This window comes from Homo sapiens, chromosome 17, assembly GCF_000001405.40.
Source record: "Homo sapiens chromosome 17, GRCh38.p14 Primary Assembly".
NCBI lineage: Eukaryota > Metazoa > Chordata > Mammalia > Primates > Hominidae > Homo > Homo sapiens.
Window position 1 is genome coordinate 37548545 of NC_000017.11, and position 27416 is coordinate 37575960.

General features: G+C 39.8%; 1 protein-coding gene across 52 annotated transcripts in view; it reads right to left on the reverse strand.

The window, feature by feature from the left end:
- The window catches only part of SYNRG (synergin gamma), a 94612-nt gene that overhangs the window by 33738 nt on the left and 33458 nt on the right, over nt 1–27416 (reverse strand). For 51 of the 52 annotated variants that reach the window (XM_017024081.3, XM_047435226.1, XM_047435249.1 and 48 more), the window contains 6 exons: nt 23247–23443; nt 22093–22341; nt 20247–20380; nt 12927–13045; nt 12651–12713; nt 4571–5515 (listed from right to left, as the gene is read on the reverse strand). In XM_017024081.3, the coding sequence (XP_016879570.1) occupies nt 4571–5515; nt 12651–12713; nt 12927–13045; nt 20247–20380; nt 22093–22341; nt 23247–23443 (1707 nt within the window). The remainder of the gene's footprint in view (nt 1–4570; nt 5516–12650; nt 12714–12926; nt 13046–20246; nt 20381–22092; nt 22342–23246; nt 23444–27416) is intronic. The other variant, NM_001163547.3, reaches the window with a different exon arrangement.

Sequence of the window (27416 nt, forward strand, 5' to 3'; positions counted from 1 at the left end):
TGGTGGCTCACACCTGTAATCCCACTACTTTGGGAGGCCGAGGCAGGTGGATCACCTGAGGTCAGGAGTTTGACACCAGCCTGGCCAACATGGTGAAAACCCACTTCTACTAAAAATACAAAAATTAGCTGGGCGTGGTGGCAGGCACCTGGAATCCCAGTTACTTGGGAGGCTGAGGCAGGAGAGTCACTTGAACCTCAGAGGCAGAGGTTGCAGTGAGCCGAGATCCAAGATTGCGCCATTCCACTCCAGCCTGGGTGACAAGAGGGAAACTCTGTCTTAAAAAAAAAAAAAAAAAACACACAAAAAAACGGGCGTGGTGGCTCATGCCTGTAATCCCAGCACTTTGGGAGGCCAAGGCGGGCGGATTACCTGAGGTCAGGAGTTCGAGACCAGCCTGACCAACATGGAGAAACCCCCATCTCTATTAAAAATACAAAATTAGCTGGGTGTGTTGGCATGTGCCTGTAATCCCAGCTACTCAGGAGGCCGAGGCAGGAGAATCACTTGAACCTGGGAGACAGAGGTTGCAGTGAGCTGAGATTGTGCCATTGCACTCCAGCCTGGGCAACAAGAAACCTGGTCTCAAAAAAAAAAAAAAAAAAAGTCCTCATCTTCAGTGATTTAATTTCCTTCCTTCCTCAAATTCTAAAAAAGAACAAAGAATTAAAGCCTCAAAACATAAGAATACAAAATGTAAACCATGGAAATATCCCCTTTCCCAGGGATTTTATTGCTTTGGGGTTTCTAACCTGAAAAACAGTAATATTCTCAAGGTTTTTTTACTGTTACCATACTCTAAAATGGAGAAAATATTTTCCATGTTTGGCCTACGCTTGTTGCCACATTTCATTGGTCCTTCTAGAAAATGTTTTCTTAAAAATAAGAATGGTTCAAACCTTACTTTGTTAGACACACCCCCTAAAGTAACATGTTTTAAGAATTTGCTTTATGTACTATGAGTGAAAAAAAAAGGCTGAGGGTTGCTTCATCATACAGAACACATACTGCAAACCTAACATGCTCTGCAATTAGAGGATGGAGTACCCAATTTTTCTTTCTTTGAGACTAGGTCTTGCTCTGTCACCCAGGCTGGAGTGCAGTGATGTGATCACAGCTCACTGCAGCCTCTACCTCCCAGGATCAACTGATCCTCACACTTTAGCCTCCTGAGTAGCTGGGACTACAGGAGCCCACCACCGTGCCCGGCTAATTTTTGTATTTTTTGGTAAAGATGGGGTTTTGCCATGTTGCCTAGGCTGGTCATGAACTACTAGCCTCAAGCAATCCACCCACCTTGGCCTCCCAAAGTGCTGGTACTACAGGTGTGAGCCACCGTGCCCGGATGAGTACCCAATTTCAAACTCAAATCAAATTCCATCCTCAAGACTTCCTGCTATTAATACAGAACACTTTCCATTATGCAGATTATCAATTTAAATACAGTTTACATTTACTGTGCTCAGAAGTCCATTTCAATATTATTTGATGATATATATCTAATAACTAGTTATTACATAACTAGATAGTTATAGTTAACTCTTTCCACAACACTCAACTCTTAGGTCTTTTTCCCCACCTTCCCCTTCTCTTCTCTTCAATGTAATGCCTAGTAGAGACAGATTCTCTACAATAAAATATGATCAGTTTCTTCAAGAGAAGAAACTGCAATAAATGTTCTTTCTCCCTATCATGTAAAGTAGTGTAAGGTTTATTCTTATTTAAGTTTAATTTTCTATTTCAATCCAATGCCATGTTAAAAACTTACATTAATGGAATTATAAGAAACAAAGGCTAAAATGTACCAATACTTTCTCAGGAGACAAGTGTTTGACGAAACAAAACAAAAGGGGAAAACCCTCTAGTCTTAGGATACTATTGCTTTAAACTTGGTATCAGCCAGGTATTTCTTTGGTCTAACCCTGAAAAAGTACAAATTACACACATCCCCACACTTTCAAAATATGCCAAAGAATTATTTATTAACACAAGACTTACAGATCACAAAAGAGAGTGATACAGAAGAGCTGGAAAAGAAGTCATCAGAATAAGCATGCAGATCAGTATTTGCAGAGGAATATACTAAAGTAAATTTGAAGGCACATTCACACAGAAAATGTCTAAATTGAAAAAAAGACATCAGAAAAGCAGCCAAAAAAAAAAAAAGGTGCTAATTAAAATACAAAGATTTTCAATGTCAAAGAAGAGCTACTTTACAGATAGGTAGGTAGGTAGCTACAGAAGTCTTGCTAACCCTTTGAAAATGTCACAGATGAGGGTCAGCTCTTGCTGCCAATAAAACCATATGATTTTAATGACTGCACGTCAAGATGCTTCAGTGCCGCAGATTAAATTTAGTCAGGGGGAAAAAACAGCCTAGTTGAAATTATATGCAGCAAGGCCTCAAAGGGTTAAATGTAATAATACGCAGAGAAATCAGGCAATGTTATCAGTATTATCTACCTTCCATACAAATGATTATAGCAAGAGTTAAAAGAGACAGTATCCCCTTCAGAGTTAAGTTAGGGCTTCTAAACAGGATTAAGGTCCGCAGATAGCAATCTACCAGGTTTTATTCTCTCTTCATCAGCTCACTTCTTATTTCTCCAACAAGAAGTACCTTTAACCCTCAAACTAAGAGAGCAAGAGATACTGTGGTGAACATGAGGATAAAATAAAACTACATTACTTTGAATAAGTCCTTGCCATTTACCCTCTACAATACATTGATGCAGCAATTTTGCACAACAGCAATATAGCGCATTGGTCAGACATCAACCCCTTTTAACAACCGCTCTAAAGGGATACTGCTCCTTTCTGACAGGAGGTTTACAGATCAATGGGAGGAAACAATCTGCTTTTAAGAATATCCTCCAACTGAAGAGTTAGCTTGAACATTACAGGCTCCAAGCTGAGGATGTTCCAAACATACATAAAAGAACATGAGCACAGAAGATTATTTTAACAGGTCAGTAAGAACAAGCTTGGTCAAAAAAACCAACCTCCAAATAAAATGGGGGAAAAAAAAAGACACCCCAAACCCGGATTAGCCTCATTTCATAAAGACATCTACCTTGGCACTGTGAAAGAATATAGATTCACTTTCAGAAAAATAGTTTCTAATTAATAACTTCAGAGTCCAAAAGGCTAGTATACATGTTATGAGATTTTTAAATAAAAATCCAATATTGTTCAGAAAACAGAGCACTTTGCAACCAACTGCTGTGGTTCAAGCAGCTCATAAAAAAAAAAAACCAACAAAACAAAACCCACAATCACTCTATCAAACAAACAGCAGCAAAAAAATAAGAAAATTTCTGAGGAAAAGTACAAAAAAAAAAAAAAAGACAGAAAGTAGACAGTCAAGGGCACAGGAGCTCTTCAGACCGCCCACTGCATTTGAAAAATACCTTAGCAAGTAGCAACATGAAACATGCAATGTCTCTGCTAACTTGCTCCTGATTCAGCAGCCTGTTTAGCAATACCTACAACATTTCCATAACCAAAGGATGGATGCAATTTTGTTTTCCGACTTGCCAATTTGACATATGCAAAAGCTATAGGACTTTACAATTTCTGCCTGAATCTGTAAACTTGGAAGTGTCTCACGTGTCCCCCCTAGTTAGACAAAACCAAATCCTTCATATGCATAATACATTTTCTAGAATAATACAGTGATACTGAGATATTTCTCATTATTAAAAGGCCACAAAATAGGTTTATCTTTCTATATACATATCAAAAAACAAAACAAAAGAAAAACCAGGACACTTGGGAATCTAGTTTTTATGACAGAAGTTGAACTAGAGAGTAAATTGCTACATGTAAATCTACACAGAATTTAAAGAGGGCTCCCTAATAAGATGTTTTCAAACATTTTATCAGAAAGTTAGCAGTTACCCTATCCTAGCATCTACAGATTTGTTACAACTTAATATTTCCAGTAATAGAGTTAACACTGAAAACAGCTCCTGGATTCCACTGACAACACACACCCTCCTCTTTGCCAGGCCCTGACATACAGAACATTCATATATAAACTCTTTCCCTCTTCTTCTCTTAAAAGGATGTGGCAAACTGCACTACAAGTGGTTAGAAATTTTTACTTTCTTGACCTAACAAGAGTTAATTTCTGTAAATCAAACAGAATACTATACTGGCAGTTGCTGTGTATACCCAAGAGAAGAAAAAAGGAGAGGGAAACACTGATTTTACTCACAGAAATGAAGGAACACTGCCGGCACTGCAAAGGTCTTTATCAAATTTCTGGCAATGTGAGGTTCACTTAGCAGTGACTTTTTATGTGCCTCTAACACCAAGCTGGTGCTAGATTTCAAAAATAAAAATATCTTAGCTACCCAATCTAAGTTCCACAGTAGCCATAGTATCCATATCAAGTATCCATAGAATCAAATTTAACACTGCTTTAAGGAGACTGGCAATAAAGAGGTTGATTATTAGAGATTCATAAAGCTAAAGGGCCAGAGCCTTACTCATGTAAATCAACACCCGCAGAATCATCTTTGAAATCTACAACACCATCACCAGAGCAATCTCACCAATTCCTCACCTGCAGCAGGAGGATGCTGGCCACTAACTGTTGGTAAATCCAAAGAGCTATCAGACATGACATGCTTAAGATCTCCTCCCACATCAGCCAATTTCATGTCAAACTGAACAGAGAGTGCATCTTCAGAGTCCTCCTTGCCAACACTGCTGCCACCAATGGAAGGGAGATCTAAGGACTTCACTGATGCAGAGTCTTCTTTGGTGTGTCTGAAAGCCACTGCTTTCTCTCCCAGGGATTTGTCCGAGTTTATGGAAGAAAATTTACTGGAGTGGAAGTCAGCAAAATCATCATCACTTTTTCCTGAAGGAGTGTTATCTTTCAGGTCTTCAACACCTAGTCCAGACCCTTCCAGAGAAAGTTGTCTGAAGACATCGTACTTGGTAGACGCAGCAGTCGAGTTTTGTCCACCCTTCACTGTGCTGCCCACGTTGCTGGTTAGAGGAACAGGACTGGCTTCCTCTTTAAGGGCATCATATTTGTCATCCGGCTTTTGCTCAGATGAAATAGAGCTATTACTGAAAGCCATAAAATCTGCAAAGTCATCCTGCTCCCCAACAGGTGCTAGACCAGAATATTCCCCAAAAAGGCTGAATTCTCCAAAATCATCAGCCAAACTAGAAGTTTTTGTTGCTGCCAATGCTGTCATAGTAGCAGCAGAACCTGTTGACTGTGGTGTAGAAACTGATTTTGATGTGCTAAACACAGCTGAAAAAGACAATGGTTTCTCGCTGCTGCAATTAACTGAGGAAAACATATCTAGGTCTGCTAAGTTCAGAGGGTTTTTCACTTGTGTTTGTTGTTTCTGTTGTATAGTTCCTGAGGGGAAGGATGGTGGAAAAGTTTTGTCTTTTGTTGGTGGCTCTAGTGGTGATACACTATCGGCTGTTTTAAAATCGGTGAAACCATCATCAGTTCCTGCAGATCTGAATTCTGCAAAGCTTTCTCCTGAAAGAAAAAATACCACCAAACAAATGGGAATGCTGAACTGAAAACCATATAATACACAGTATATTAAACTGCAAGCATAATTTTACTGACTTTTCTCCACTGACTTGACATTACTTAATAATGTTTACATACTTTAAACCCTATCGAACTACACATTTATTTCCACACTGAAGTCTAGTGATACTGAAATAAATAGAAATCGAACTGAAAGTACCTGACGGTACCATTTTCATTTGCTCATGCTTTTAGTGTGGGATCTCTCTTAGCTCTAGATCCTACAACTGGCTAAAAGTACTCCTCTCAAGACTTTTTGTTCCCACAGCTAGCCAGCCAAGCAGACAATACAATAAGAAATAGGGCTAGAGGTTCTTGAAGAGAGGCATATTAAAACAGTGGCCCTTTAAAGATAAACATGTTACCCATTAAAAAAATCAGAGGTACCAATAAAGTATTATGAAAAATCCTACATCTAATATTCAGGATGTACAACACTTGGTTTAGCCAGGCACTTTAAGAATAACATTAGATACTATGTGGTCTTGCTCAAGTAAATGAAGGCATTAATTTGAAGGGAACTTTGATGAAAATTTTTGAAAAGGTATCTATTTATTTGCAAAGCATTCTAGGTGGGGCACATTGTAAAGCAGCTCCTCCCTATAGTCTCTAATAAGCTGAATCTCACAGAAAAAAAGTCCTTGAGCACTTGAGCTTTTCTAGAAATCAGCTGTCTCACTGTATCAATGAGCACTTATTTTTATTTATTAAAATTCAAAAGGATTTGAATAAATACCAACTCTATTATATAAAGTTTTAGAGGGTATGACTTAGACTTTAGTTTACATTATGCTACTCTGAGGATGGGGTAACTGACGGAATTGTTTATTTATTTATTTATTTTTTAAATAAAATTTCTTTTGCCCATGACACAGCTCTCAAGAGATCCTGAGAAACATGTGTCTCAGATTTGTTTATTTTTATATTCTGGTTAAATAGAGTGGGTACTTATGTACTTCTCATAAATAATTAAACAGACTCAGTTAAGACATTGATAAAAATTTAGGCCTATGATTCTTTTTTTTTTGAGACAGAGTTTCATTATTGTCGCCCAGGCTGGAGTACAATGGTGTGATCTCAGTTCACTGCAACCTCCACCTCCCAGGTTCAAGCGATTCTCCTGCCTCAGCCTCCCAAGTAGCTGGGATTACAGGCACCTGCCACCACGCCCGGCTAATTTTTGTATTTTTAGTAGAGACGGGGTTTCACCACGTCACGTAGGCTGGTTTTGAACTCCTGACCTCGGCTGATCCACCTGCCTCGGCCTCCCAAAGTGCTGGGATTACAGGCGTGAGCTACAGCACCCGGCCCAAGGCCTGTGATTCTTAAAAGGTTTCTATATTCTTTATTATCATAGTAATGTTATCATCACTCAGGTACAGCATCAGGATACAGATGATCTCAGTTTTCTAATAGCATCTGAAGGTCTACCATAAAATCCACTAGGCTATACCAGGTAATAAAAACCAGAGATAAACCAAATGTAAATATAGTTATGCCAAGGCCGAACACAGTGGCTCACACCTGTAATCCCAGCACTTTGGAAGACCAAGGAGGGTGTATCACTTGAGGCCAGGAGGAGTTCAAGACAAGCCTGGCCAACATGGAGAAATCCCATCTCTACTTAAAATACAGAAAAATTAGCTGGGCATGGAGGCACATGCCTGTAATCCCAGCTACTCGGGAGGCTGAGGCACAAGAATTGTTTGAACCTGGGAGGCGGAGCTTGCAGTGAGCCAAGATCCCACCGCTGCACTCCAGCCTGGGGGACAGAGAGAGATTCTGTCTCAAAAATAAAAATAAAAAAACAAATAAATATAGCTATACCAACCAACATCATTTATTATTTTAAAAAATGACTGCCATTTCTGGAGATTAAAATTAAGTAAATTAAAATATAAGCTTTAATTTCCTCACCCATTTTTAAAAATTACATTTTCCCCTAAAAATGACATATAAGAGCATATCAATAATAAAAATGTATTGAGAACCAAAATCCAATTCTTAAATTGGCATATAAAATAATGCAGGCTTAAAATATACTGTGCTTGGGCCAGGCACGGTGGCTCACGACTGTAATCCCTGCACTTTGGAAGGCCAAGGCGGGTGGGTCACCTGAGGTCTGGAGTTTGAGACCAGCCTGGCCAACATAGTGAAACCCCATCTCTACTAAAAATACAAAAAATTAGCTGGGTGTGGTGGCAGGTGCCTGTAATCCTAGCTACTTGGGAGGCTGAGGCAGGAGAATCGCTTGAACCCTGGAGACAGAGGTTGCAGTGAGCCGAGATTGTGCCATTGCACTCCAGCCTGGGCAACAAGAGCAAAACTCCGTATCAAAATAAATAAATAAATAAAATAAAAATAAAAATAAATTTAAAAAATAAAATATACTGTGCTTGTAACAAGATATGTACTTGGATATAGCAGATGAAAAAAAAAAAGCACCAAAAACAATACAAGCTAATTTTTCCTCCTAACCTGAGATAGTTAACCAATTCACCAGCATAATTCATCAACACCAAGGAATTCATCTAATAAGAGAGGAACAGCATTCAGATTTCCTGTAATTTATATTTGTAAGACATACCACTAGTAAAACTCAAGTCAATTTCACAAACTGACAGAAGATGTAAAACTTTTAAAAATCACCCTAGAATTTTAGATTAGTAGTATCACTGATTATACTTGTATTATTTCTGAAAATGTAGAGGTGATAAGCGGCCATTTTTATCACAGCCTAAATTTTTAATGTGTTGCTTTGAAATATCTGTGAAATTGACAAGTATTGCTTTGTTTGTTTGTTTGTTTTAATCACCACAGCAAACTACACTTACTGATGAATTGTAAACTTTTCCATTGGAAATGTAAGCTGGGTGAAAGGGCTAAAAGGAAATAAAAGCGGGTGAGTTTACAAAGGGAATTTGTTGGCAAATAAATTAGTCACAGTCAATGGAAGCTTGTCTATCAGAAGGCATATTAAGCATATTATTTCATGGTTAGATTTTTGGTTAATGTCTACATACTTGTAAGTTTCCCTCTCCGTCACTTTTTAGACTCCAAAAAATCTCAAAAGGGACCACTTTTTTGCTAAAATTTCAATAAAAATGTGTCATTTCTTTATACAGAACATTTCCTCATTTACTTTAATTTATGGCTTAAACTCTGGAGATGGAAAAAAGGAAACATTATTAAACTCTGTCATTCAGTAACCTAAGAAACCCACAGCTCTGAACAACACAATACTATAAGATTCTTCATAAATTCTAAGATACTAACGTACTTTGACGAAGTCAAGCCAATGTATTTTTTGAGTATAAAAAATATATCACACCATTTAGGAAAATAAAATCTATTCTCCTAAAATGAACAAAGTTGGCAACTCTACTTGGAAAACCTTAGAATTAAAGTTAAGATAGGAATGAAAGCAAGTAAATGAAAATAACAACAATCTGGAACTTTGTTTAAAAAGTACTGAAATGTGGCTGGCCATGGTGGCTCACACTTGTAATCCCAGCATTTTGGGAGGCTGAGCTGGAAAGATTGCTTGAGGCCAGGAGTTCAAGACTAGCCTGGGCAACACAGCAAGACCCCACTGTGGTGATGCACATCTACAGTACCAGCCACTTGGGACGGAGGCTGAGGCTGCTTGAGTCCAGGAGTTGGAAGCTGCTGTGAGCTATGACTGCGCCACTGCACTCCAGGCTGGATGACAGAGCAATACACTGTCTCTCAGAAAAAAAAAAAGGTATTGAAAAGGCAGGACTAAGGTACTGCTTACATTTTGGTGACACCACTGTCTTTTCCTATTGTCTATTACGGGAATACACATTATGGTCATTAATACCATATTACACAAGAATCCTCATGTTAAACCATGTGCTCTTTACTCCAAACTTATCTTGGCCCAAGTGTTGATGAAAGCATTGCTAGGTGTAAATAAAAACCTAACAAGTCAAAAGATCCCCTCAGGTTTATCTCTGTTACTCCCACTGTGTATCTGATACAGGCACTGAGGAAGAAATGGCTATTACATTCTAAAAGCTTGGATAAAACACAAGAAAATATTTCTAGAACCTAACAGTTATATGGGGCTGAATATTCTTATAAGAGGTGGGCTTTCCTTCTTTAAAGATGATTAAGCAATACAGTTTCTACCATACCTACCTACCTTCTCTCCCCTACCCCTAGCAGAAGAGTAGAAATAAAAGATTGCTGAAGGATGTCCCAAGTTTGAGCATTCAATACGTAAAGATAGAATGTGGTATTGTTCCCAGAAGGAAATTCTCATTAGAGTATACACATTTCATAGCATGCATAGTTAAGCTTTGCAGAACATAATTTGACCTATGGGTTATCTAAACCCTACCCATCATGTTTACAGTAGGATTTAACCACAAACATAACTTTCAGTTTTTACATATATGACTCCCAAATGATCATTTTATATTCCCTTGTACTCTAAGTCTTACTATCGGAGATGGTAACCACATGGGCACATAAATCCCTCTCTCTTCATCTTTCTCATTAAATTATAGCCAATCTTGAAAATCTTGTAAAGTGGTGATTGAGTTTAACACAAGCAAAGTATAGTAACTGATCACTCATTCTTACTGGATTAGTGCGCAGATGATTGAACACTGGCGTCTTGACGTCTGTATCCTTGAACATACTAAGTGAGCATTGTTTGGTTACTGCTTCTGTTTGAAATGATCCTGTGTCTTGGTTGTGGCCCGAGCTTTGAACTGCTACTTGCCATTCCCTTTCCTTCACAGAGCTCTCACCATTCTAACATGAAGGATTTGGTAAAATACGAGTTCGGTTGAGTCCTGCTTACTCCCACTTGGTCATCTTTGTAGGAATCCAATGTTTCATTGGTTTGTTTTTAAATTATTTTTAGCTGATGTTCATGAAGAAAAGTGAGTACCTATAACCATGCTACTAATGAAGGAAAATCCTAGCTAAGAAGGTATATTTCTGTATGAGAGCTGTGTCCTACCATCCTTTGGGCTCTCTGCTGGAAGAGTAGAATCAAATCTTATATAATGCCTTTTTAATTGTACGCTCTAGTATTATAGATGTAAGACAGTACTGTAATACACCTCTGTGAATGTATCTTGTACCTGCTTTGTGATATGTAGCAGTGACTATGCCTTAATCAAGTCATTTTTAATAATGTTATTCTAGAATATTTTCTTTCTAGATCATGAGTGAAAGGCTAAAAAAAACCAAATAATAATGGTACCAAGTACCGCAACAACAATAGAAAAAAAAATCTTGAAAAGAAAAAGACTGGCCAAGTGTGGTGGCTCACGCCTGTAATCCCAGCACTGTGGGAGGCCGAGGCGGGCAGATCACCTGAGGTCAGGAGTTTCAGACCAGCCTGGCCAACATGGTGAAACCCCGTTTCTACTAAAAATATGAAAATTAGTCAGGCATGGTGGCAGGTACCTGTAACACCAGCTACTTGAGAGTCTGAGAAAGAAGAATCGCTTGAACCCAAGAGGTGGAGGTTGCAGTGAGCCAAGATCATGCCATTGCACTCTAGCCTGGTTGACAAAAATAAAACTCTGTTTCAAAAAAAAAAGACTAGTTGCTGCCTTTACAGTCCGCAGATTGCTGTACTGCTAATACTTCAAGCAGTGTAGTTTGAGTATTAGCAGTACATTGTTGAGCAGTGTAATAAATCAGAGTAACCATGGCTCTCATTTGACAAGGGAATTTAACTTGTCATGCAAGCTTCCCGTGAAAGGGAATGTCCTATCTTCAGAGGAAACTACACTGATTTGGAATTTGCCCTGAATTTTATTTTATTTTTACTGTGACCAGGCTGGGGTACAGTGGCACAATCATGGCTCATTGCAGCCTCGACCTCCCAGGCTCAAGCAATCCTCCCACCTCAGCCTCTGGAATAGCTGGGGCCACAGGTGTGCACCACCATATCTGGCTTATTTTTTATTTATTTATTTTCATTTTTTGTAGAGACAAGGTCTCACTATGTTGCCCAGGCTGGTCTCAAACTCCTGGGCTCAAGCCATCCTCCCACTCTGGCCTCCCAAAGTGCTGGAATTACGGGCATGAGCCACTGTGCCTGGTATGCCCTAAATTTTAGAAAATAAATAATTCTCAATAGCTGAAGCACATTTACCTCCTTGTAATCTCCAGAACCATAAGAAGTAATCTTATCCCCCTTCTACTAGATAATCCCCCATTCAGCACCTATCATTTTTTTTTTTTTTTGAGATGGAATCTTGCTGTGTTGCCCAGGCTGGAGTGCAGTGGCATGATCTTGGTTCACTGCAACCTCTGCCTCCCTGAGTTCAAGCGATTCTTGTGCCTCAACCTCCTGAGCAGCTGGGACTACAGGCATGTGCTACCATGCCTGGCTAACTTTTTTGTATTTTTAGTAGCGATGGGGTCTTACCATGTTGGCCAGGCTTGTCTGGAACTCCTGACCTCAGGTGATCCGCCCACATCGGCCTCCCAAAGTGCTGGGAATACAGGTGTGAGCTACTGTGCCCGACCCTATCATGATATTTTTTAAAAACAATAGCTATTTTTTTTTTTTTTTTGAGATGGAGTCTTGCTCTGTCACCCAGACTGGAGTGCAGTGGCACAATCTCAGCTCACTGCAACCTCTGCCTGGGTTCAAGCGATTCTCTTGCCTCAGCCTCCCGAGTACCCGGGACTACAGGTGCGCACCATCACACCCGGCTAATTTTCATATTTTTAGTAAAGACAGGGTTTTGCCACGTTGGCCAGGCTGGTCTCAAACTCCTGACCTCAGGTGATCCACCCTCCTTGGCCTTCCAAACTGCTGGGATTACAGGCGTGAGCCACTGCACCCAGCCTAAACACGGTTGCTATTATTAAGGTTTTTTGAATTAGAATACTTATAGTTTGAGTATCTATTATAAACATCACTACTATACCATATTGTTTTGTCCATTCAGTTTTTTTCTCCTAAACACACAGACACACACACACTAAAATAAAGGGAATGCCACTGAAAGAACCATCGAAAACCCCTTTTTTATTAAAAATGGAAATAATTTATCCTTTTGAGGACTCAAAAACTTACCTAAAGGTTTATTCTCTGCTGTCTGTTCAAGTTCTCTGAAAGCACTATATTTATCACCAGGATCTATGATAGAAAGGACAGAAGCTCAGTTAAGGTTAGGAATCTTGAAATCACAGCTCCAGGAAGTGAGGCAGATTGGTTTAACCAAACACTATTAACATGTGGTATACAGGCATTTTACATATTTAGCACAGAAGACCACCACTTAAAGATTCATACAATTTAAATAGTATGCAATTTAGCATTCACAAGTTTATGAATTTACCAACTTTTTACCTCCAGGTGGAACAGTATTTTCAGAGGACTTGTCAGCTGCAATTCCTTTAAACACAGCATATTTGTCCATTGAAGGCAATGCTTTAGTTCCAGGAAGTGGCATCAACAAAGAAGGGGCACTGAAGGAAAAAATAAACATATTTTGATGACATTGAATCCCTCCTTTATCATCTAAAAGGAAGTTAGAATTAAAATGGCAAACAGGTATTTCATTAAAACTCATGGCTCTCTGCTTTAAAAGTTAGAAAACTATATAGTATACATATATACCACAAATAAAAAAAAAACCATGTCCTTTTTCAAAAAACAAAACAAAACAAAAAACATTACCCAAACAATCATTTTTTTCTTGATTAAATGAAGAGGGGTCAGATCCATGCTGACTGTCTAACCATCTCTTTAAGCCGTAATAACAACTGGAATGGCGTTGGAAGTAGATTATTAAAGAATGATGACTTCCTGCAATTTTAACTTAAGGTCCATAAAACTGCAAAAGTGAACTGTTCCACATATGTATACTCAATATTTTAAAATAAATCATGTTAACCTTAATATAAATTATTAACTTCAATGGGTTCAGAGTGCAGAGGTAGAATAGTTGAGATAAAAATCTATTTATGAAATGCTGTTCAAGCCAAAATGTAAATTGTTTTTCTTCTGATTGTACTGCACTGCCTACTGGCAGAAGTGCATACATCTGATAAGCTGCCATAGAGTTAATACAATTTGCATTTTTACAAAGATCACATCAGCGGTTCTAGAAGCTATCTTTGTAACAAAACAACAATCACTTCAAAATTAGATAAAGATACTTTTGCCTGTGGACATATTTCGTGCTGGATGGAAAAATAGCGTAATGAGTAGCATCTGTGCAGGTAATTCTTAGAAGGCTTAAACACATACTATAAAAGCATTACTTTTTCTTCTTCTTCTTCTTCTTCTTCTCTTATCAGACCCAGGCAGCTCCCTGGAAGAACCACCTTTACATATGAATGACTACATTCCACCACTAGTTTGTGTCATTCAATACCATGCACAAGTTATATAAATGGATTTCTATTGAGTTCTTCGCCCTGGAGCAAAAATCTTTCCACAGTCATTTAAACCTTCTTATCAGTGGCTTACAAGCAAGGTAAAAACTAGGCTCTGGTAGCTGCATGCTAATGGGGTACACAGTCCTTTAGGGCTTAATGCCATCAAATATTATGATTTCACGTCACCACCAAACAGCTGCTACATAACTGATCTTGACAAATGAAATAAGTCATCACCTATACATTGTAAGTGGACTTTTTAAAAGTTCCATAAGTAATTAAAGTACAGTTCACTGTACAGAATGTTACATGGGAATAAAGGAAATTAACATCTTAGGGAAAAAAAACCCCCAAAGTTGAATGATTTCTTTATTTTTCATGACCCTCCAGCTTTAGCTACGGTCTTTTAAGGCTCAATGGTAAAAATCTTTCTACTAAATGTTACACTTAATTGATTATTAATTTTAAAATTATATTCACAGAATTGGAAAAAAAAACAACAACAGAATCTTTAGGGTAATGAACTACTGCTTGCTGATTAAAGTCAACAAAATTCCATTCAAAAAAAGTTATGACTCAAGACTGTAATTTTATGCATACTGCAAATGAATATTTCATTCCAGTTCTTTCTCTGAAGTTATTATTTTAAAAAACCACTGTAATCACCATGAAAGTGTTTATGCCAGTTACATAGTAGTCATCAACCGCTCCAAACATGAAGACGGTATTTCTACACTTTCACACTAATGAAAATACTCAAGTGAGAAAGGCATATATGATTTTACACTTAAGAACCTGTATTCTACTAAAAGGTAAGACTTAAAAAATTCGGCCACAAAAAAGTATTTTACATTTTCTCTAGTGAATCTATTAGTGTTTTACAATCACTCCATATGACTGTGGTAGATAGCTTTATTTAGTTGCTTACCCTGCTAAATATATACATTTAAAAAGAAATATTTTGATTTCAGCAGAATAAACTAACCAACCCCAAAGTCCTATATGTTAACCCTTTGTGAACTTTTATTTATTTATTTTTTTGAGACAGTGTCTTGCTCTGTTGCCCAGGCTGGAGTGCAGCGGCATGATCATAGCACACTGCAGTTTCGACCTCCTAGGTTCAAGTGATTCTCCTGCCTCAGCATCCCAAGTAGGTGGGACAGCTGGTACTACAGGCATGCACCACCATGCACAGCTAATTTTTGCATTTTTTGTAGAGATGGCATTTCCATAGGTTGTCCAGGATCAAGTGAAATCCTGGGCTCAAGTGATCTGTCCGCCTTGGCCTCCCAAAGTGCTAGGTTTACAGGCAAGACCCACTGCACCCAGCCTTCCCCGCCAGCTTTTTTTTTTTTTCTAAGACAAATTCTTACTCTGTCTCCCAGGCAGGAGTGCAGTGGCGTGATCTTGGCTCACTGCAAACTCCACCTGCCAAGTTCAGCAATTCTCCTGCCTCAGCCTCCCAAGTAGCTGGGATTACAGGCACACACCACCAGGCCTGGGTAATTTTTGTATTTTTTTTTTTGTAGAGATGGGGTTTCACCATGTTGGCCAGACTGGTCTCAAACTCCTGACCTCAGATGATGTCTGCCTCGGTCTCCCAAAGTGCTGGGATTACAGGTGTGAGCCACTGTGCCTGGCCAACCCTGGCCCCCTTGTTAACTTTTCTATGATCAATGTCCCATATCTGCTTTGTTGATTAGGCTCCCAAGTGCCTGGCACATAGTATTTTCTGAATGAATGACTGGATGATGTTGCTGCCTTCCAGAGGCCCTTCAGGTCTTATGTGCAGGCTCAACTGCCATCTCTCCTTTGACTATCTAGTTTAACACCGAGTCTAGCCAATTTCTCAGATATAAACTGTTCAGTGTCTATAACTCTAAACCCTGAGTAATTCTCATCATCTCACAGCAAGATTACCATGGCAACTGAATTTATTCTATACACAGTAGCAATAATCACTTTCATTGTGCCACTTCTTACTCATAAAATGCTTTAAAATAGAGTATGTCATAAGTCATAAGCCATCCCACAACTGGTGCCGTCCTTAACTAATGTTATTTTCTCACAGACCAACAATGTTCTCCATCCCGGTCTACTCCTAAAACCTTACTTGCCCTTTCATCTTCTCTAACAAGTAATGCCCATTTTCTGTCCAAAATGGTCTTTCCTAGGCTTAGCTATTCACACCATGATTTAACAAATCTCTTTTTAAAACAATGTGGAGTACAGATTATCATAAACTAGGGAATACATTTTATATGTACATTTAAGGACTAATCCTAAGAGAACGTTATCAGATAATTTAAATACCAGATAAAACTAAGTGTCTTTAGAGCAGGAACTGTGGTTTTTGCTTCTGTATTTCTCATGCCTATCCCAGTGTCTGGCATATAGCAAATGCTAAATAAATGTTTGCTGGATGAATAAATGAATAATGAGTATGAATTCTAGATAAAACCAAAATAGTTTCATTCAGCTGGGCATGGTGGCTCACGCCTGTAATTCTGGCACTTTGGGAGGCCGAGGCAGGCAGATCACCTGAGGTCAGGAGTTCAAGACCAGCCTGGACAATATGGTAAAACCCCATCTCTACTAAAAATACAAAAATTAGCTGGGTGTAGTGGCGCGTGCCTGTAGTCCCAGCTACTAGGGAGGCTGAGGCAGGAGAATCACTTGAACCTGGGAGGCAGAAGTTGCAGTGAGCCGAGATCGCGCAACTGCACTTTAGCCTGGAGACAGAGCAAGACTCCGTCTTAAAAAAAAAAAAAATAGTTTCATTCAAGGAAAGTATGGAAGTAGTCAAGTCAGAGCTGTATGTAAGAGGAATAGCTGCAAAGTATCAATGGTGCCCAGGCTGGAGTGCAGTGGCGTGATCTCGGCTCGCTACAACCTCCACCTCCCAGCCGCCTGCCTTGGCCTCCCAAAGTGCCGAGATTGCAGCCTCTGCCCGGCCGCCACCCCGTCTGGGAAGTGAGGAGCGTCTCTGCCTGGCCGCCCATCGTCTGGGATGTGAGGAGCCCCTCTGCCTGGCTGCCCAGTCTGGAAAGTGAGGAGCGTCTCCGCCCGGCCGCCATCCCATCTAGGAAGTGAGGAGCGCCTCTTCCCGGCTGCCATCACATCTAGGAAGTGAGGAGCGTCTCTGCCCGGCCACCCATCGTCTGAGATGTGGGGAGCGCCTCTGCCCCGCCGCCCCATCTGGGATGTGAGGAGCGCCTCTGCCCGGCCGCGACCCTGTCTGGGAGGTGAGGAGCGTCTCTGCCCGGCCGCCCCGTCTGAGAAGTGAGGAGCCCCTCCGCCCGGCAGCCGCCCCATCTGAGAAGTGAGGAGCCTCTCCACCCGGCAGCCACCCCATCTGGGAAGTGAGGAGCATCTCTGCCCGGCAGCCACCCCGTCCGGGAGGGAGGTGGGGGGGTCAGCCCCCTGCCCGGCCAGCCGCCCCGTCCGGGAGGGAGGTGGGGGGGTCAGCCCCCTGCCCGGCCAGCCGCCCCGTCCGGGAGGGAGGTGGGGGGGTCAGCCCCCCGCCCGGCCAGCCGTCCCGTCCGGGAGGTGAGGGGCGCCTCTGCCCAGCCACCCCTACTGGGAAGTGAGGAGCCCCTCTGCCCGGCCACCACCCTGTCTGGGAAGTGTGCCCAACCGCTCATTGAGAAGGGGCCAGGATGACAATGGCGGCTTTGTGGAATAGAAAGGCGGGAAAGGTGGGGAAAAGATTGAGAAATCGGATGGTTGCCGTGTCTGTGTAGAAAGAAGTAGACATGGGAGACTTTTCATTTTGTTCTGTACTAAGAAAAATTCTTCTGCCTTGGGATCCTGTTGATCTGTGACCTTACCCCCAACCCTGTGCTCTCTGAAACATGTGCTGTGTCCACTCAGGGTTAAATGGATTAAGGGCGGTGCAAGATGTGCTTTGTTAAACAGATGCTTGAAGGCAGCATGCTCGTTAAGAGTCATCACCACTCCCTAATCTCAAGTACCCAGGGACACAAACACTGCGGAAGGCCGCAGGGTCCTCTGCCTAGGAAAACCAGAGACCTTTGTTCACTTGTTTATCTGCTGACCTTCCCTCCACTATTGTCCCATGACCCTGCCAAATCCCCCTCTGTGAGAAACACCCAAGAATTATCAATAAAAAAATAAATTAAAAAAAAAAGTATCATATACGAAAGTAAACTATTACATGGAGATAATGCCACACAAAATTGCTAATATCCCATATATCTCAGGTCTGGCTACCATCTTAAAACTTTCTACCCCCAAATTTTAATTTCATCTACAAACAGTTTTGCTCAGAGAAATAAACCACCCATTTGATAAATTAGGTTTATAACCCACATACTATAATATAGTCATCCAACAGATCTTTATTAATTACATATGATGGGGCCAAGCACTACATATATAAACATGAATAATTGTCTTCAGATACTTACAGCCTAGAAAGGGAAACAGTCAGGTAAACCAGCAATTACAATTAGGGCACAGACATTCATCAGGTACTACAGCAGTAGCAAAGGAGGTGGGAATTGGTTAGGAAAAACTTCCTATATTTAGCTGATTTCTGAAATGGAACTATAACTATAGGGAGATCAGGTAAGGGTATTTCAGACTGAAGCGAACAGAATGGATAAAGCTTGAAAGAACATGGTCAGTTTGGAGTCATGCTGGCAAGGCTGGAGTGTAAGTCATGGGGAATAGCAAGAGTTGAGAGTGGGCAGGAGTTAAGATCACACACTGTCACACAGAGCTGACAGAGTTAATGGTGGTAAAGGAGAGATGACAGAGCCAAAGTAAATAGCATGCTTTTAATTTGGTGACTGAATATGGTGACATCATTCACCAAGGAAGGGAATAACGATTTAACACATTTTTATGTGGCTTTGAGTAGGAAAACACTAAAGGTAATTTCATGCAGTGAATTTGAGGTGCCTTGACTCATTCAGATAGGGATGCTTAGATAGCAGTAGTACATATAAATTTTGTTTGAAGGAAGAGATCTGAAGTAGAAATACAATTTATGCGTCTAGAAGGTTTAACTTGTGTTGGTGCAGCAGTCCTGGAAATACCAGCACTCTATGGTCACATTCCTTATATGTTTCTTCTATATGTTATGTACATGCATTTAATATATTTTTAAAATCAGGAGAATAATCTCTTTTCCTAATTTGTAATTCTCTATAATGCCTATCCCTTAGTTCTTGTTACAGTGTGTATGCAGCAAAGTGCTGACTAAGAGATAATCAATTGGCTAAAGGGGAAGAGATGAGCGAAACTGCATAAACAGGAACAGAGGAGACATGGAATATGTATTCTGACAATAACAAATTCGAAAAATAAAACCAAAGGAATTCATATCGCTTACTCTGGTGTCTGATGTGTTCCACTTTGCAGAAATATCTAAATACTTTTTTTAAAATGCCGTCTGGGCATGGTGGCTCATGCCTGTAATCCTAGCACTTTAGGAGGTCAAGTAGAGAGACTCACTTGAGGTCAGGAGTTTGAGACCAGCCTGGCCAACATGGTGAAATGGTGAAACCCCATCTCTACTAAAAATACAAAAAATTAGCTGGGCATGGTGGTGGACACCTGTAATCCCAGCTACTAAGGAGACTGAGGCAGGAAAACTTGGGAGGTGGAGGTTGCAGTGAGCCGAGATCACGCCACTGCCCTCCAGCCTGGGCGACAGAGCAAGACTCCATCTCAAAAAAAAACTAAACATGCTGACAACATACTGAATCAGTTACTGTACCTGAAGGTTAAGGTGGCGTGTAAAACCTTAGAGAAATGTTTATGCAGCTGTCTATGCAAACAACAGAAATCTGAAGGCTTAAAAGACACTAATGTCAAATATACAAGAAATGTGAATGAATATGATTAGAGTTCTGAATTATGATTCTGTGGAAAAGCAACAGTACATAACATTACAAAAATGTGCAATTATGTGCTCCTGCCTAAAAAACTTTTTAACAGTTGAAGACCTTGCTGTAATATAGGAACACGAAGTCATCACTGCACAGGTGATCTTAGCTATAATAAAGGTTTGGCACAGGTAAAAAAGAATATTGGCAGGCAGGTGTGTACTTACAGGAAACAGTAGGAGCTGAAGTTTAAGATGGACAAAGGGGAGAGAAGTTTGAAAAGTAAAAGTATTAATACAGAGGGAATAAACACAGAAAGTAGTAGAGTAAGGAGTCTTAATTTTTAAATTTCTCACACCTAGCCTTCCTATTATGGATGCCTCTTTCTTAATGGTTAAATGCAATGTTAAATATATTAAACTCTTTTCTACCTGTTTCCATGCTGGGAGTTACTTGTTTTTGAAGAAGCAGGCAACTCTTGGAAATCACTGAATGAGTCATCAAGGGATCCTGACTTAGAAGCATCTTGAAAATCCTGGAAGTCATCTTCTTCTGGCTTTACTACCTAGGTTTATAAAGGTCATTTAAATAAATAGCACTGACTGACAAAATAAATACACAACAAATCAAAAGTCAATCTCAAAGACTGCCTTTAAAATTTCTCAGTTTAGATACATTAACTCAAGTGCTTACGGCAGGAATCCTGTTTTGTATTTTTAAATACTCTCTGGTACAAATGGTAAAAGACTGGTTTAAATAGCTAATTTAGGCTGGGAGCAGTGGCTCACGCCTATAATCCCAGCACTTTGGGAGATCGAGGCAGACAGATCTCCTGAGGTCAGAAGTTCGAGACCAGTCTGGCTAACATGGCGAAACGCCATCTCCACTAAAAATACAAAAATTAGCTGCGCATGGTGGCATGTGCCTGTAGTCCCAGCTACGTGGGTGGCTGAGGCCAGAGAATCACTTGAACCCAGGAGGCAGAAGTTGCAGTGAGCCGAGATTGTGCCACTGCACTCCAGCCTGGGCGACAGAGCAAGACTCTGGCTGAAAAAAAAAAAAAAAAAAAGCTAATCTATACATTTGTAAAATAGCTGAATGATATTCATTGGGTTACTGAGCGCCTACCATCTTTAAAAGATATATCTAGCCGGGTGTGGTGGCGGGCACCTGTAATCCCAGCTACTTGGCAGGCTGAGGCAGGAGAATGGCTTGAACCTGGGAGGCAGAGGTTGCAGTGAGCCACGACCGTGCCACTGCACTCCAGCCTGGGCAACACAGCAAGACTCTGTCTCAAAAAAAAAAAAAAACTAAAAAGGAAAGGTCAAAATGCTACAAAAAAAAAAAAAAAGACATACAGCTATATCATGCATGTTTGCAAATTAAGTGACACAAGCTCATCATAACCAATCACATACATGTACAAAGAGTGGACACTGACTCCTAATCCCACACTCCAGAAGTACTGTTAACAGCTCATTTGTTTTAAAGACAAATGAGATTACACTATATTGCTCTATACTTTAACTATATAACAAAGACACATTTCCATGCAGTACATGTAGATCTATCTCATTCAGTTTAATGATTACCACTGTGTGAAGGAATTGAAATTTATTTAACCTTTCTCCTCCTGTTGGATATTTAGCTATTTCTACTTTTTACTCTAACAAACAATGTTACAACAAAAATTCTTGTATATCTTTGCTAATTCGAGTTACTATTCTTGGGATAGATTTCTAATAATGTGACTACTAGGATAGAAGATATAGACATGCTGAGGCTTTTTTTTTTTTTTTTTTTTTTAAACTCAGTCTCCTTCTGTTGCCAAGCAGGAGTGCAATGGTGTGATCGTAATCATAGCTCACTGCAGACTTGAACTCCTGGGATCAAGTGATCCTCCTGCCTCAGCCTCCAGGGTAGCTGGGACTACAGGTACACACTATCATGCCCAGCTCAACATGTAGAATTTTGATTGCTATTGCCAAGTCTGCCTTTCAACAAGGCTGTACCAATAAGCCTAGAGTGTATTAGTCACTTTTACCCTACTTTTTCAATGACATTAAATATTATATATTTAAAACATTTTTGCTAATCTGAGAAGTGAAAAACTAAAGTATTTTAATTTCAGGTTTAGCAGTTTTTCTGAAAGATACAACCTAAGAATTTAAATGTGCTCACCATAATCCAGTAACCTACTCTATGTATCCCCGGAAAAAATGGTGCCCAGATTCACTTTCAGTGATTATCTGAAATATGCACAGCTTCGCCATTTACCTGATTTGCAGGGTAGGTTGGTATGAAACCACTAGAAGCCTGGGCTGCAGCTCCACCCACTGGTCCAACAAGGTTAATGCCCATGACTGGCTGTCCAAGGCTGAGGGGCATGGAGCCCGCAGGACCTGAAGGTATCACAGTTGGCTGACTCACCGGTGTAGGCAGAGTCATAGAAAAGCCACTTAAAGTTGGAATAGGAGCTGCTGGGAACTGGTTTAAAGCATCAGGACTCATTGCAGGAACGCCCCTCTACAAATGATAGAAAGAAAATGGATTAGAGGATTGTAAACCACATACGGTCGAAATCTGGCAGAGACCGAAAGGTAAAAAAATCTGTAGCCTTTGCATGTTTCCACTCCAACTCTCAAAACTCATGAATTTGATTTAAGAAAAAAAGTTACAAGGTCAATGCAAACCTAATACTTAAGAAAGAAATGGCCAACACATATCAGTTCTGACATTTTCACTTTCTGACAAGTTTGGTTAATTCTATATGATCAAATCATTTAAAATGACTTTGCAATAAAAGAAAAATTTATACCAGACTGAGAATACTTTATCTGTATCTATGAAATTTTAGAGAAGAATTTCAAAACACAGAGTAATTTCACCTATTACTGACTAACTTTCAAGTTCAGAGAATGTTAATATTAAAAGTCTTTAGGCCAGGCGTGGTGGCTCATGCCTGTAATCCCAGCACTTTGGGAGGCCGAGACAGGTGGATCACTTGAGGTCAGGAGTTCGAGACTAGCCTGGCCAACATGGTAAAACCCCATCTCTACTAAAAATACAAAAAGTAGCCGGGCATGGTGGTGGGTGCCTGTAATCCCAGCTACTTGGGAGGCTGAGGCACGAGAATCACTTGAACCCGGGAGGCGGAAGCTGCAGTGAGCTGAGATCTCGCCACTGCACTCCAGCCTGGGCAACAGAATGAGACTCAGTCTCAAAAACAAACCAAAACAAAAAGTCTTTAAACAAAGGAATAACTTGCTATTATGCACATCTTATAAACTCTACATTTTTGAAGTACTATATCCTGAAAATGATCTAAATTTTAATGTACAAGGAGTTACACAATGTAGTAAAAAAGATTTCATATCCTTGCAATTTATATTAATAAAGTTATTTGATCTAACTTAAGAAACATTGTTTACCTGTGTTACCGCTATCATGGCTAGAACGGTATAAAGTTCTTCTTTTGTAAGTTTGCCAGGTGTAGTTCGATTAGCTAAGGCCCATATCTGTCCAAGAGTTTCCCTGGGAAGCCCAGATGACATCAGAATGGGATACAGTTTGGCAGTATCTATTCCAGTTGGAGTCATTGTGGTTTCTAAGATTTTCTTATAGGCATCTATTAAAGGAAAGACCAGATTACAAATGGAAACACATTCCAAGTGATTTATTTTTTGGGATGCCATTGTTGGTATACAAGAATAATCTTCAACAAAACTGCTTTAATAGAACCGAAGCCATGTCAGGGTTTAAATTGCTTTAAACATATTCAAGTGCAGCTGGGCGTGGTGGCTCACGTCTGTAATCTCAGCACTTGGGAGGCCAAGGCCAGCAGATCATCTGAGGTCAGGAGTTCAAGACCAGCCTGGCCAACATAGTGAAACCCCATCTCTACTAAAAATACAAAAGTTAGCCACACGTGGTGGCATGTGCCTGTAAGCCCAGCTACTCAGGAGGCTGAGGCAGGAGAATCACTTGAACCCCGAGACAAAGGTTGCAGTGAGCTAAGATCACGACTCTGCACTCTGCACTTCAGCCTGGGCAACAGTGAGACTCCGTTTCAAAAAAAAAAAGAAAAAAAAATTTGAGATATTCAAGTGGAAATGTCCAGCAGACAATTAAGAGTCTGAAGTTTGGTACTAAAGATAAAATTTAGGGCTAGAGGTAAGACAAAGTCTTATAATTCAGTAGAAGATTGTAACAAGACAGCATGCTTTGGACTTTACAAGAGAAGCTGTAGAGTAATGATGGTGGGAACAGTTTGAAAAGAGCAATGGGAAGTAAGAATTATACCAACATCACTCTTCTCCAGTAAATTAGAGGCTGTGAGAGAAAACACCATTGGAGAAGGTGCTACGGAAATACAGCCTTTAAGGAAAGACCCAGTTTCTGTTAAGGTGAGGAAGCAGAACAAGTGTCTTAAAAAGGGGGGTACAGTTGGTGAGTTTTTGACAATAACATGGGTTTTCCAAAGGACCAAGTGGGAAATGTTGTTAGATACAGGGCTAAAATAAAGAATGCCAATATTGCATGGGACATACTTATACTAAAAAATTATTTGCTGTTTACCTGAAATTCAAATTTAACTGGGCATCCTGTATGGTTATTTACTAAATGTAGCAAGCTTAGTTAGGGAAATGAAACTTAGTAGGGCTAAGGGGGACAGAGAAACTGTTTAAAACAAAAATTTTACATCTGGGATTATAAGTATGGATTACAGGTTAGTGGGCTCTCCATAAGAACACATATTTTTGGCCAGATGTGGTGGCTCATGCCTGTAATCCCAGTGCTTTGGGATGCTGAGGTGGGCGGGTCACAAGGTCAGGAGTTCGAGACCAGCCTAGCCAATACGGTGAAATCCTGTCTCTACTAAAAATAAAAAAAATTAGCCAGGCGTGGTGGTGCACGCCTGTAGCCCCAGCTACTCAGGAGGCTGAGGCAGGAGAACTGCTTGAACCCAGGAGGCAGAGGTTGCAGTGAGCCGAGATTGCGCCACTGCACTCCAGCCTGGGTGACAGACTGGTTCCGTCTCAAAAACAAACAAACAAACAAAAAAAACCATATTTTGACTAGAAAGTATACATGCATGTATGTTTTCTAGTCTTCTAAGGAAGAGGGCGAAAGTAAAGTAATACAAACTGGCAGAAAATGGATAAAACTCCAAAATATACCAAGATCTAGATTTCATTCGTTTGGCTTGAGGACAGAGAAGAAAAGATGCAAACTGTCTAACAGGCATTTGGAAGAAAAGCCATTATTTTAAAGTACAGTTGAATTGTACATACTATTTTGGTAACAGCCTTTTGTCATTATGAGTAGTATCAGAAAATGCATTTGAATGAAAACTATAAAACATTAATGCAATAAATTGAAGGGGACATAAAAAAATAGAGAAATATTCCATGTTCATGTTTTGGAATAATCAATGTTGTTAAAATGTCCATAGTACCCAAAGCAATGGGTAGTACAGATTCAATGCAATCCCTATCAATACCAATTACATTCTTCACAGAAACAGAAAACATAATCCTAAAATTTATATGGTACCACAAAGGACCCAGAATAGCCAAAGCCATTCTGAGCAAAAAGAACAAAACTGGAGGAATTACAGTACATTACTGTATATTACCTGACTTCAAATTATACTACAAAGCTATAGTAACCAAAACAGCATAGTAATAACACAAAAACAGACACAGAGACCAATGGAACAGAATAGAGAACCCAGAAATAAATCCACACATCCACAGTGAACTCATTTTTCAGAAAGGTGCCAAGAACATACATTGGGGAGGGTCTCTTCGATAAACGGTGCTGGAAAAACTGGATCTCCATATGCAGAAGAATAAAACTAGACCCCATCCCACACCAAATAAAAAAATCAAATGGAAATGAATTAAAGATTTAAATCTAAGACCAGAAACTATGAAACTACTAAAAGAAAACTTGGGGAAACTCTCCAGGACATTCGTCTGGGCAAAGATGTCTTGAGTAATAACCCAAAAGTAAAGGCAATCAAAGCAAAAATGGACAAATGGGATCACATCAAGTTAAAAAGCTTTTGCACTGCAAAGGAAACAATCAACAAAATGGACAACCCACAGAACGGGAGAAAATATCTGCAAACTATCCATCTCACAAGGGATTAATAACCAAAATATATAAGAAGCTCAAACAACTCAATACAAAAAAAGCTAATAATCTGATTTTAAAATGGGCAAGACAACTGAACAGGCATTTCTCAAAAGAAGACATGCAAACAGCAAACAAGTTTATGAAAAGAGGCTCAACATCACTGATCATCAGAGCAATGTCAATCAAAACTACAATGAGATATCATCTCACCCCACTTAAAATGGCTTTTATCCAAAAGACAGGCAATAACGAATGCTGGTGAGGATGTGGAGAAAAGGGAACCCAAGTACACTGTTGGTAGGAATGTAAATTAGTACAGCCACTATGGAGAACAGTATAAAGGTTTCTCCATAGTGGCTGTACTAATTTATAAGCCAAGATTCAAAAGCAACCTAAGTGTCCATTGACAGACGAATGGATAAAGAAAATGTGGTACATATACACAATGGAGCACAATTCAGCCATAAAAAAAATTGAGATCCTGTCATTTCCAACAACATGGTTGGAACTGGAGGACACTATATTAAGTGAAATAAGCCAGGCATAGAAAGACAAATTTCATATATTCTCATTCATTTGTGGAAGCTAAAAATTAAAACAACTGAACTCATGGAGACAGAGAATAGAATGATGGTTTCCAGAGGCTGAGAAGGGTAGTGGTGGGGGGGAATAATGGGGATGGTTAGTGGGCATAAAAATATAGTTGGATAGGAGGAATAAGATCTAGTATTTGATAGCACTACAAGGTAGCTACAGTCAACAATAATTTATTGTACACTTAAAATAACTTACAGAGTATAATTGGAATGTTCATAACACAAAGAAGTAATACATGCTTGAGGTAATGGATACCTTATCTACCCTGATGTGATTATTACACATTGTATGTCTGTATCAAAGTATCTCATGTACTCCATAAAAATATACAATTATGTAGCCACAAAAATTAAAAATAAATTTTTTTTTGTTTAAAGAAGAAAATGCACTTTAAGGATTTTCTTTTCTTTTTTTTTTCTTCTTGGCTCAGCAGTAAAAATACATGTAAAGAAAAAGTAGGTCAGGTGCAGTGGCTCACACCTGTAATCCCAGCACTTTGGGAGACCAAGGCAGGCAGATCACTTGAGCCCAGGAGTTTGAGACCAGCCTGAGCAACATGACGAGACCCCGTCTCTACAAAAAAATACAAAAATTAGCTGGGTGTAGTGGCATGCGCCTGTAGTCCCAGCTACTTGAGAGGCTGAGGTGGGAGGATTGCCTGAGCCTGGGGAGGTCAAGGCTGCAGTGAGCCAAGATCCTGCCACTGAACTCCAGCCTGGGTGACAGTAAGACCTTGTCTCAAAAAAAAAAAAAAAAAAAAGAGTAAACACTATCCTTCACATCTTCCAATGTGAAAAAAAAGATCCCACATGGTCTTTTATTTCATATAGTATTACATGACAAGTCATAGAAAGAATATT